The sequence below is a fragment of the Homo sapiens genome, chromosome X, assembly GCF_000001405.40.
Source record: "Homo sapiens chromosome X, GRCh38.p14 Primary Assembly".
In the NCBI taxonomy this organism is placed as follows: domain Eukaryota; kingdom Metazoa; phylum Chordata; class Mammalia; order Primates; family Hominidae; genus Homo; species Homo sapiens.
Genome location: NC_000023.11, coordinates 38403408 through 38416690, shown reverse-complemented (window position 1 = coordinate 38416690; position 13283 = coordinate 38403408). Strand labels below are relative to the sequence as shown.

Sequence of the window (13283 nt, the reverse complement as noted above, 5' to 3'; positions counted from 1 at the left end):
GAGACATACTTAGACTAAAAATTATTCATTGTTTATCCAAAATTCAAATTTAACTGGGTGTCCTCTATTTTATCTGGCAACTCTAACTTGGGGAGAAGTAAATGACTATAAAATATTGTGAATTACATTTGCAATGGTGTTTTGGACTTAAGAGTCATATGTGGATAACAGTGCTTTGAAGTGTCAGCATTTTTTCTTTTTTTCAGGGTCCCTTTAGGTTATTTTAGCTCCAGTGTAAAATTTATAGGCAGAGGGAAAACATCTATCTACTTTTTGTGAGTCCTACTGCCTTATTAATCACTGAAAAATACAAAAGCAAGCTTCATGGGGAGGAAAAGTGTGATTTTTGTTTCTAAACAAAGGGGTCCAAAGACCTGTGCACTATGAAGAGAATGATGCGATTAGTGAAGCGTTCTGAACAGCACTACTGGAAATCTCTTAGCATGGAGGCCTTAAAAAGCTACTCTGAGTGCTGAAAGAGGACACTTCTGCTTTAAAAAATGCTACACCATTAAAGAAAAAGCCCTTCATCCTATTTTAGTGTATACCTTACATCAGTCATTACAGGCATCTCAGAACTGGAGGGCGACATTGTGGCTTTCCTTTCTTATTTCATCCTCATTTTAAATCAAGTTGCATGCGTGGAAATTATTCCCTAGAGTAGTGCTGTCCAATAGAGCTCTCGGCAGTGATGGAAGTGTTCGATGTCTGTGCTGTCCAATACCAATAGTGTAGCCACCAGCCACATGTGGCTATTGAGCATTCAACAACTTGGTTAGTATAACTGAGGAACTGAATCTTCTCTTTTTTTGTTTGTTTGCTTGTTTGTTTGTTTTGAGACGGAGTCTTGCTCTGTCGCCCAGGCTGGAGTGCAGTGGCACGATCTTGGCTCACTGCAACCTCTGCCTCCCAGGTTCAAGCAATTCTCCTGCCTCAGCCTCCTGAGTAGCTGGGATTACAGATGTGCGCCACCATGCCAGGCTAATATTTTTGTATTTTTAGTAGAGACAGAGTTTTACCATGTTGGCCAGGCTGGTCTCAAACTCCTGACCTCAAGTAATCCCCCTGTCTCAGCCTCCCAAAGTGCTGGGATTATAGGCATGAGCCAGTGCGCCTGGCCTGAATCTTCAATTTTGTAAAATTTTAATTAGCTTAGATTTAAATTTAAAAAGCCATATGTGCCTACTGGCTACTGTATTGGATAGGGTAGTCTGGAGGAAGACAAGTATTAGAACATCTTAGAAAAATGTATCACGGCAGTGCTGAACCTAAAGGCCATTCTAAATAAGCTGTATAAGAATAATTTATTTGCGGCCGGCTGTGGTGGCTCACACCTATAATCCCAGCACTTTGGGAGGCCGAGGCAGGTGGATCTCCTGAGGTCAGGAGTTCGAGACCAGCCTGGCCAATATGGTGAAGCCCTGCCTCTACTAAAAATACAAAAATTAGCCGGGCACAGTGGCGGGCACCTGTAATCCCAGCTACTTGGGAGGCTGAGGCAGGAGAATCACTTGAACCCAGGAGGCGGAGGTTGCAGTGAGCCGAGATCGTGCCATTGTACTCCAACCTGGGTGACAGAGCGAGACTCTGTCTCAAAAAATAAAAATAATAATAAAATAATAATAATAATTTATTTGCCTATAGAATAGGAATTTAGCGTGGATAGTCTCTAAGGTCTCATCCCACTTGAAAATGTTATGCTTCTATGAACTGTACAGGCTGTGTGGTGGCTGCATACTATTCTCTTTTTTTCAATCTCCAATGCCTGGCAGAGGACCTGGCATAGAGTAGATGCTCACTATATGGCTGCTGAAATGAACTGAACTCAAAGGGACCTCCAAATCATCTAGCTCAGAGACATAAAGAGCGCAACACATGTATCACCACCTCCTTTCTAGCGTCCGTGTAAGGCACGCTAATCAGTTATGCCACTCTTTCTGTCTCACACCATAGGCAGGCTCAAAATCCTTCTCAACAGAATTCCTGTAGCCTGTTGATGAGATTAGGGATCTAAGAATTAAAACTCATTTGCCATCTCTATGGCTCAATCTGCTTATTTCATGGGAGAGGACACTGGGACCTAGAGAGTTAATACTTAGACGCTAAGATGGCACAGCTGACTAGTATTAAGGCCAGTTACAGAAGTCAAGTCTCATCACTCCCAGGTGAGCATTCTTTCTACTTTAGACTCTCTACTTTCATTTTAACACGATTCTGTCTCTTGGTTTCTTTAAAATATTTTCCTCTAATAATAGTGGGTAACTCAGGGGTATGGGGAATGGGGAGATGGCGGTAAGATCTAGATGGATGGAAAAATGGGTGGATGTAAGATTTCACCATAAATATTTCAACCATGTGAATACATTACGTATTTAATTTTTCAAGTAAATTGGTTTTAAAGACGTTGTTTAATAAGCTCTTTAAAAGATAAGAAGTTCAGAGCATCTCCATAATTGATGTTTTGGAAAGTTTCCTTTTAGTTTTCCCTACTGAATTTCTACAAAGGATCTACTTTGATGGATTTACTTGATATATCTTTGTAACTTCAATTGTCTTCTGATGAAAAACAGAGCTCAAGGAAAATGTTTTGCTGTGTCTCTTCCTGAGGTATGTGGTTGGAGAGCTCACATTTTCTTTGTCATCTAGATCTTTGCTACTCAAAATGTGGTCTGCAGGATGGTGGCACCTGCAATAACTGGGTCCTTATTAGAAGTGCCGGCCTGGCACGGTGGCTCACGCCTGTAATCCCAGTGCTTTTCGAGGCTGAGGTGGGTGGATCATTTGAGGTCAGGAGTTCGAGACCAGCCTGGGCAACATGATGAAACCCCCCTACCCGCCACTAAAAATACAAAAATTAGCTATGCATGGTGTCACCTGCCTGTAATCCCAGCTACTTGTGAGGCTGAGGTAGCAAAATTGCTTGAACCCGGGAGGCAGAGGTTGCAGTGAGCCGAGATCACACCACTGCACTCCAGCCTGGGCAACAGAGCGAGACTCTATCTCAAAAAAAAACAAAAAAAAAAAATAGATGTGCCAAATCTCAAGCTCCATCTTAGACCTACAGAATTCAAATCTGCACCTTAACAAGACCCCCTAGGTAATTTAAATGCACATTAAGGCTTCAGAAGTACTGGCCTAGATAACAAGGCAATTGACATTTTGGCCAAAGTTAGTGTCCTGAGGTGGCAAGCTGGAAAGATGCAGTGAAAAAAAATCATCCCTGTTATTAGATATGACAAATTTAGGCCTAATATACAAACTTCTATTGAAAAGGGAGTCACGGTTGGCTGCCAAGCAGCCATAGTTGAGCTTGAACCCCTGCTTATTTTATAGGGTCTGTATCAGATCAATAGTGAAGATGATGATAATGAGGGTAATAATTATGATAACAATATTTACCATGTGTTATGTGTTATGTACTATACTAAAAGCTTTACACATATTACTTTAATGTTCACAATAAACCTATTCCAATTTATAGATTAGATAAATAATTAGAAGCTAGTCCTTTCCAGCTTGCTTTTCTCTACTCCAGAGGCTGAAAGCTAAAAACTGCCTTTCCCAAACTCCCTTGCAGCTAGGGTACAGGCATCCCACTCAGCTGCATCTACTCCAGACTTGGGTGCAGAAGCAAACAACATGCAGTGGAAGCCGTCTTCGGAGAGATTGGATCTTCTGCTACATATGCAGGTAGAGAAATCTATTTCAGCTGTGGTGGCTATAATGGAGTATCTGACATCTGGTTTCAAGAGCCTCAGGTACCAGGCTGTGTCAGTGGTGTTCTGGCTACAAAAGAACCACAGTGTCATTGGGCAATTTTTCTGCCTGTGTTGTCCCTGGCTATATGGTGTCCAAGAATTATTCACTGCACTTCCTTTCCCAAAAGATTCTGGGAGCCGCTTAATGTCTCTTAATACATTACTTTCCATTTATCTACCTAGAGTGGACTCCCGTTTGCAAGTAAGATCCTGGCTGATACAGTAATTGAGACCAGTTAAGTCACTAAAAGCTAAAAAAATGGTGGAGCTAAGTTAGACATGTCAGTACTATTTTCCAGAGCAGGTGACATTTGGGATATTGTAAAGTAGACATATGGTTAATATTTCCTAGAATGACAGTGATGAAGATGAAACTAGTGGCTTTATCTGAAAGGAACCATTAATTTTTAAGATAAGTTTTGCCATGAAATTTGGAAATGTTCTATACCTAAAAACACATATATCCCTATGGCCAAACTCAAAGAACGAAAACAAGTATCTAGTCCAGTCATAAAGTAAGGCATGGAATGAGGAAAAAGAGAAGGGAAAAAGTAAGATGTTTTGAATGCCCATTTTATACAGGAACTGAATTAGGGGCTTCTCTAAACATGAACAAAGAGATTCTAAAATAAGAATTATATGACTTATAATGGTTGGCAAACTGGTGGCTGGTGCTCAGGCGGATCAAGGGTGGTAAGAATTTTGGTTAAAATGGATTTATTTGAAAGGAGATTAATCTCACTCCATGCAAATACACTATAAATGCTAATAAGCACTAATGATGTATTATAAAGTTTCTGGAAAAAAATAGATGTTACATGAGCAAGTAATGTAGTTGGATAATCTCACTTGCTTATTATTTCCCCAAAGGCATGAATGACCAAGTTGGAACCACACAAAGAACTTATCCTCCATTCCTTGTTTCTTGCTTACCATGATTGTCCACTTTCTGTTTTCTGCCTCTGGGAACACTAGTGATCGAGGAGAATAAAAGACTTCATCATCCACTTCTTCTGGCTTTCTGGGCAAGCAGTGTAAAAATGTCCAGTCAGAGGCAGCAACTTTAGCAGTCTAAAGAGATGGGGATAAGACCACTTTTTGACTATTATATGTGGCAGTCATATTTGTTTTCTTCAGTATCTAAAAACACACATGGCCAGTAGTCAGACATCAATGCAAAGGGAGAGACAAAGGAGCAGAGTGATGGTTTTATCTCAAGACACCTAGGAGAAATGTACATGGTACTTTCAAATTTTTTTTTTTTTTTGAGACAGAGTCTCGCTCTGTCACCCAGGCTGGAGTGCAGTGGCAAAATCTCGGCTGACTGCAACCTCCGCCTCCAGAGCTCAAGCAATTCTCCTGCCTCAGCTTCCTGAGTAGCTGGGACTACAGGCATGTGCCACCATGCCCAGTGAATTTTTGTATTTTTAGTAGAGACGGGATTTCACCATATTGGCCAGGCTGGTTTTAAACTCCTGACCTCAAATGATCCGCCCGCCTCGCCTCTCAAAGTGCTGGGATTACAGGCATGAGCCACCGTGTCTGGCAAGTCTTTTTTTTTTTTTTTTCTTTTTAAATTTAAGAGAGTACCACTTCAAGTTACACCAGTAACTCAGTTTTCTGTTATTCTATTTAGTGGAACAGTAGACCTTTCAGTAAAGAACTCTACTAATGTAATATGTGGCTGATAGCAAAAGTCACCAATTATAGTCCACTATATTTAAAAAGTTGCTTTGGTGTGATAATATTATATTTGGAGCTGATCTCCAAATTATTATTTTTAGCACTTGAAGCATACTCCATCACTAGTTAAAACAATTTAGATAAAGGTAATGAGGTAGGGGTGAATTAAACAGGATTATAAGCACTATGCATTAGATTTTTCATTCTTAATGCAAATGTACTAGCAGTTTTAATTTTCTCCAACAGTTAATTGCTGAAAGTTACATTTCCCTATATATTTCTATTGTTCACATACAGATTCAAAACTACATTCCTTCATACTTTCTTACCTCAAAATTACTGCCTTTGTACTACAATTTTGTTTTACCTCCCACCCAAGCTCTAGGTTCAGGACATTTTGAGTTTCTAAAATACCAGCAAAATTACATGGAAAAAAGTAACATTTATAAATGCCATACATCAACAAAATGACTGTTCTTCAATCCTACAGTTCCAGCACCAGCAACACATATAAGATTGGCCAAGCAAGTGTAAGTATGAAGCAATTTATATAATTTAAAATATCTCCATGAAAATATATTCCACATGATAAGGGATTAGCCATAATATATAAAGAGCTCCTATAACCAATAATAGAAAAGGCAAAAAAATAGAAAATGGGCAAAAAATGTAATAGCAATTTATAGAAAAAAGGGCAATGCCCAATAAACATAAAAAGATGCTTAACTTCATTAGTAATCAAGGAATTGCAAATTTTAACAAAGATGAGGTGCCATTTTTCCTCCAGATTTAGAAAAATTAAAAATGTAAATAAAAGCTAAACATGGAGAGGATATGGAAAAATAACTATAATATACAGCTGCAGCAGTATACATTTTTAATCTTCTTTGGGTAAGCAATTTAGCAGCACTCTCATATTTTAAAAAATTTATACCACTTCACCCCAAAATTCCTCTCCTCAGGATCTTATTCTCCAGTAATATTTGCACAAAGAAATATGGATAAGCAAGTTCATTGCAGCATTTTTGTAATCGGCATTCTCAGAAATAGCCTAATTTATCAATAGGAAACATTTTAAGTAAATTATGGTTCCACTTATCCTTTGGAATTCTATGCAGCAACTAAAAAGAATAAAAAATATCTAAATGAGTGAGCAAGAAAATCTAAGATTTGTTAAGTGGAAAAAGTAAGAATAATAATAAATAAATAAGTAATGTCTAAAATATCATTTACAAAAAAATCAATAGTTATGTGTGTATTGAGGCATACATATGTAAATGCACAGAAAAGGTCTGCAAAGAGACACATCAAATTATTAAACAGAGGCTACCTCTAGGAATAGTCTCTGTTAAAGAGATGGGAGAAAGACATTTTTACTTTTTATTTTTCAAACTTCTGTTCTATTTTATATATAACAATAAAGAACTTGTATTTATGTATTACTTTATCAATATAATATTAATTGTACTTGCTTAATCCCTTTCTCCACCAAAGTAGATTTGTTGCTTTGCTGACAAAACCCCTGTGCATTTGGCTTTCAGGGTATTCCTCCAGAACATTGCTTCTCAAAGTGTGGCCCTGGAGGCAGCAGCACTGCATCACCTGGGAACTTGGTAGAAATGCAGATTCTCAGGTTTCACCCTGACCTACTGAATCAGAAACCCTGGGGGTGGGACCCAGCCAGCTGTGTATTAACAACTCCTCTGGTGATGCTAATACCTGCTCAAGACTGAGAAGCATTGTTCCAGATCTTACTGGAAGACAGCCAAACAGATGAGTCCCCTGGGAATGCCCTGGAGGGCATTAGCAAAACTAAACTGGATTTAGAGGTCCTTGGAAAATAGAGGCAAGGACTAGCCTGAGGAGCATAGTTAAGGGGCTTTTCTTAGGGGAGAAATCATAAGAAACTGCATGCATCAGAAGTAACCTAATTTCTCTAAACACACAAAGAGTAAAACACTGCAATGCCTCGATTCTTGTGAGAGGGAAAAGCCTGCTCCTCTCTTCTCAGTGGGTTTCAAATTCCTTCATCCAGCACAAAAATGCCTTTCCAAAGGACACAGCTAATCTTTGGAAGGAGAGAAGTCCCTAGGGGATACAGTCAGTGAGTCCTTTTATAGGGAATGAAAGGACAGTCTGCTCCCCCTAAAGTGAATAAGTGATTAGATGGTTCTGGCCTTCATGAATGGAATTAATGAACCTTCAGAGAGGCATCAATTTGTACCTTCATTGTAACCTGGTAACCTTGGAAAGCCTGGAGCCGCTTTTTCTTCTCCTCTTCTTGTCCCATGCTTATCCAAGTGTCTGTAATTAATACATTGCCTCCATGCGCTGCTTCCAATGGATCATTTGTCAGCAACAGCTTGGTACCATTCTAGCATACATAAACACGCTGGTTAAATAACTTCATGGGACAGTAAAAGGCAATAATAGCTTTACATGTAAAGAGCATACCTCTTTGGCATACTGCTCTGCCAACTTGGTTACACTAGCATCCGGCTCATAACCCTAAAGGAGGAAGAATTTAAATCTTATTTAGGTAATTTTATTATACATGTTTTCTTAAATATATATTATTTTCTTTTCAATATCGCGTCTCCTTCCCTTTTTCAAGATGTGGTCCCACCATGTTCAGTAGAATATGATTTTTACATCTAGAATTCCAAAACTCAATAGTGCCTTTTGGAATTTAAAGAGACAACCAATTGCCCCAGCTTTCACTATCTCCGACTTCTTTAATCATAAAGGCAAACATAAGGCATGGTGCTTTCTAACTCTTGGAAGCACCTCTTCCGGTTTCCATAATGGCTTAAGAGGATTATATTCAGAAGTGTGCAAATGAATGCATGTTTGTCTATCTTTGCACATGCTATCCTTTCTTGTCTGAAATTCTTTCTTCCACCCATTCCATGTGGATAACTTTTTCAGGTCTCAGTTGAAATGTCCCCTCCTCAGAAAAACCTTCCCTGACCATCCCAGCTAAATACTAACAGCTCCCCCTCCCCCATTACACACCTCTCATTCTTTTGCATTCCCCAGCAAGCCTTTTGAGGGCAGGGTGCTTGTTTTGAAAGGCATTGACAGAACAAATACATTGTTTTTGCTAAGATTATATATTTGTCCGGGATGGTTTGGTGAGGGCAGAGTCAGACTCTGGAGAGGCAAGCGAGGTGCCTAGGGCAAAACATTTAAGGAGGCGCTAGAAAAAATGTAAAGAAACACACATTCTCAGGGTCATGCATGCACAAATTCTGCACCCTAGGTGCCTCGCTTGCTCAGCCTAGTTCCTACTCTGGGTGAGGAGACATCATGGGAACAGCTAAAGCTCCCCAAGGTATCCCAGATTCCCACAGGCAGCCTCCCTGCCTCTACCCTCACTCTCCAACCTATTCTGTACACAGCAGCAAGAACTGTTTTCTCTGAAGCCTCTGATGTTTACTACTTGTTTCTTAAGTCAAAGCTGATTAAGAGCATCAAGGCTCCCCACCTCCATCCTCTGCTTCTGTCTCTTTTAATTCTTCTCAACATCTTGCTGCAGGAAAGCCAATCTTATTGTCATCCCTGTACACATCTTGCCCTTTTCTGCCATCACAGCCTTTCACCCTTGAACACCTCCTCTCTTGTCCCCTCCTGGGCTTCTTCATCACAATGTGTCAGCTCCTCAAAACTCTAGCCCAGCCTCACCTCCAAGACCCTCCATATGGAAGTCTTGTCAGTTCAAACACTGTAATTATCCTCACCTTCCTCTATCCTTCTCATTTTCCCAAGTTCTTAGCATTGATTATGAGTTGATTTTTATCACTTTTCACTGAAGCATTGTGGTGAACGCTGTGGTATGCTCCCGAGATCCCCCTCCAGGAATAATCATGAATAAAGGACTTATTCCCCCAGCTGCTGGGAGTGCTGCCAGAAGACGGCTTTCAGCTGTCAGCCCCCTTTGGGCACTGCCTCTGCTGCAGAGAGCAGCCGCACCCAAGGTCACACACCCTTTTGGGGCAACCCACATTCAATGGCTGATTGACAGGAGGGTATGAAAACCTGACCCTCCTCTGCCCAACTCCAGACAGATGAATGGACATCTCAGATCCAGAACTTTCCATAAGATCAGCCAAGGCTGTTGTTGGGTCTGCATCGCAACTCAGCTTCTCCCTCTTACTCCTGCTTCCTTCCCTTCCTTTCCACAGTTGTTGATTTCAAGGGCACATGCTAATAAGCATCCTGCCTGTCCTGCACACTAAACTCTGAGTCTGCTTCCCAAGAAACCCAACCTGTGACAGGCATGTCTAGGTTTATTTGTGAAATTGTGTTTATTTGCACATGATTGTCTACCATAGTTTCTTCTTCTATTAAAGCATTCTTGAAAGAAGAAACTACTCAGATGTTGATGAAGATGCCTGCAGACATTTTAGCAGCTTTACCACCCTCATATAGCCATGAATTCTGGAGCCTTGTTTATAGAGATTTGGGGAAAGTAATTAATAAAGGCTAGCTAATTTAGCAACTAATGTTGTGAACAGCCATACTGGTAAACATAAATGAAGAGACTTGGATATTCCCCCAGGTGCCTCCTACCCTGAAAATTTAGCCTTCCCTTTGGAGAGTAGGTTTTATACTCCCTAAGTACAATAATTCTTAGAAAAGGAATCAATAAGTACTTAGAGAACCAACAGAGAGGTCTGGAAATTAGAAAATCACCCAACCTTGCATGCACTGAGGCATGACTTAGAATACAGAGAGGAATTCTTTACTCACATCTCAGCTTTCAATACTAAATCACTCACTAGCCTTTACATAAATTTTAAAACCAGACAAAGAAGGTGATTAACACACCCAGTTCACTCTAAGTATTCACTTAGAACAATGTTAAAATCATTACTATTGATAGTTTATGGAGCAATTTTACAATCATGGACAAAATTATTTTTTCTTGAACATGTAAGTTATTCTTGGTTAAAGAATGGGGAAATAGATTAATCATGGCCTTGGAAACGTTTCAGTGTTTCTAAAATTTACAATAAATCTCCTAGCTTTATCTTTAAAGGAAACAGGTCTACTAACAACTGAAGACTTACAAATTGATGGAATGACTTTTGCACTATCAGACTTTCCAGAAGACTTTGCAAAACTCTTACTCCCACCAAGGTTTAACCAGGTTTTAGTACTCTTTATCATTTAAATGAGTTTCTCCTTAAGAACAATACTGCAATTACTCTGTAATATTAGAATTTTTTCCTTTGATGTTAATAAAACATCTTTGGCATGCAATAAAATGTTTAAACCATATATTTCTTCAACAGAATAAAGCCTTCCAAAAGATCTTCATAGCAGGGAGCAATTATTGTTAATGTATGTTTCATCTGTGGGAACCAAATGCAATAAGAGTTTGCATTAATACAGAGCCTTTCTTCAAACTAGCTTTGTATAGAGAGTGTACTCACCCTTCCCATAAAGTGAATAAAAGCCGCTTTAAGCACATATCGGATCTGACCCTTATTTCAGTTCACGCTGAATAAAAGAGGAGAATTATCTGTTGTAAGGGTCATCTCTCTGAGTCCCTCAAATTTACTATAATAGGATGACTTCCACTGCATGCAGTACATTTTTTCTATGGCAGGTGTACTTGGTTGAATAGTGTTCTTCAAAATTCACTCCCACCCAGAAACTCAGAATGTGACCTTATGTGGAAATAGAGTCTTTCCAGATGTAATTAGTTAAGATGAGTTCATACTGGATTAGAGTGGGCCTAAATTTAATATGTCTGGTGTCCCTATAAGAAGAGGGGGATTTGTACAGAGAGACACAGACACAGAGGGAAAATGGGAATGCCTGGGGCTACCAGAAGCAGGAAGAGGCAAAAAAGGATCCTCCCTGAGAGGCTTCCGAGGGAGTGTGGCCTGTCAACACCTTGATTTCAAACTTCTAGTCTCCAAAACTGTGAAAGAGTAAATTTGTATTGTTTTAAGCTGTGTAGTTTGTAGTAATTTGTTATGGCAGCCCTAAGAATCCAAGACAGCAAGATAAAAACACCTGGTGAAGCATTTGGTGGTGGTTAGTTTTGTTTTGGCTGGATGCAGCAGATGATGTTGGTGATCTACTCAGAGGCCCCCGGGGGATCCCTTTTCATGGCTTCTGCTCCCTTCCCCAGTTTCAGTGTTTTTAACACCTAGTGCGTGCAGTTTGTCTTCAGGGGACAGCTCTCTGGCTACCAGGCTGCTTTTCCCATCAAAAGTGCCAGGGGATTTACCACTCCACCTCTTCTGCTGCCCTTGACCAATGCTGGGATAACTTTAGGGCATAACTTACACTCCAGAGCTCACCTGTGAGATCAGGCTGAAGCTACTTTCTGTGGGACTGTGCACGACATGGGACTAGGGTGACCAAATCACCTTGGTTTGCCCGGACTCTCAATTTTAGCACCCCAAACCCCATGTCCCCAGAAATCTCTTGATCTTGAGCAAATCAGGATGGTTGGTCACTGTAAATGGCATCCTTGCTTAGATTCTTCCCTTTCCCTGTCCTGCTCCCCCTAATCCCTTAGGGATCTCCCTTGGCAGTACTTCCTTAATAAATCACCTGTACACAAATCCCCACGGTGGTGTGCCTGTGGTGGTGTGCCTGGCCTAAGGTTGATATTTAGTAATGGTGCTGGAACATTTATTTTTCCATGTGAAAGAATATATATAAATAAAAATATATACCATCTACGTTTGTGTAAGTACACGGTATGATGTTCCCACAACAACAAAGTCATCGAAGGACCCATTTCTCAGAACATATCCCTGTTATGAAGCCACACATGACTGTATGGTCAAAATAAAGTGTCCCTCCTACCTCTATCCTCAAACCTCCCAGTTCCTCTCCTCAGAGGCAACAATTATTACCAGTTTCTTGTGTATCAAAAGGTTTACATTGGGCCTATGAAAGAAGTCATGTATTCCATACATGCTGTGAGAGAGCAGCAAGGTAGGAAGTATGCAGGGGTCATTTTCATAGCCATGTGGGGCTCAAATTTTCTAAGCCAAAAGGTCCCCAGAGTTGAGTTTTGAAATACTAAGCTGGTGTAGATGCCATCACTGTGATCCTCACATTGGATTCACATTTTTCTACCAAATTGCAGTGTTAGAAAAATGACAGTATCATTCCCATGGGTTGAGAATTCTATGCTGCCTGGATTTTATTGCTTTCTTCAGCCTTTGTGGTGGTAATGCACAATGCCAGTCATCATAATGGCCTACAGCAGGGTATTCAAAGGAATAATTCAGACATGCTTTTAACACTAACTCATAGAATAAAAGGCATCAGCCAAGACTATCTCTTATTGTAGAGATGGGAAATTGGACTCTCAAGAGGCCAGATAGCTATTTAATAGTAGGGCTGGTAACGTAACCTAAATTCTGTGGCCTCACCTGTGCTATACTTAAATGGAAGAGAGCTTTTTTTGTCACTGGGTAATTGCATCTGAGGATGATTTAAGAGAGGGGTTAGTTTCAAGGCAAAAAGTTTCCCTACCTTTGGAGTAGCTGCCTGAAGGTGCATTCCGAATTTCGCTGCGCTCATCATGATGGAGTGCAGGATATTGTTCCCATCCCCGATCCAGCTGAGGGTAAGACCTTTCAGAGAGCTATAGTGTTCCTAAAAGGCACGGGATGAAGGAGATGAAATCCAGGCGTAAATTCGCTTATGTGTAGCAATTACTAAGGTTAAAATAAATAGTCTTAATCTCAGTATTAGTGCCTTGTTAGAAGGAATGAATTCCCAATTTTTTTGCATTACACAGAGCAACTCAATAATATGAATGTACAATCCCAAAAACGTGGTAAAATGTCTTAATATCTTAAACCA

The 13283-nt window shown here is 40.1% G+C and overlaps 1 protein-coding gene across 3 annotated transcripts in view; it reads right to left on the bottom strand.

Moving 5' to 3' along the window:
* The window catches only part of OTC (ornithine transcarbamylase), a 95245-nt gene that overhangs the window by 6238 nt on the left and 75724 nt on the right, over positions 1–13283 (bottom strand). For 2 of the 3 annotated variants that reach the window (NM_001407092.1, NM_000531.6), the window contains 4 exons: positions 12951–13073; positions 7896–7949; positions 7666–7815; positions 4692–4829 (listed from right to left, as the gene is read on the bottom strand). In NM_001407092.1, the coding sequence (NP_001394021.1) occupies positions 4692–4829; positions 7666–7815; positions 7896–7949; positions 12951–13073 (465 nt within the window). Of the gene's footprint in view, positions 1–4691; positions 4899–7665; positions 7816–7895; positions 7950–12950; positions 13074–13283 lie in introns of those variants that run through there. The other variant, XM_017029556.2, reaches the window with a different exon arrangement.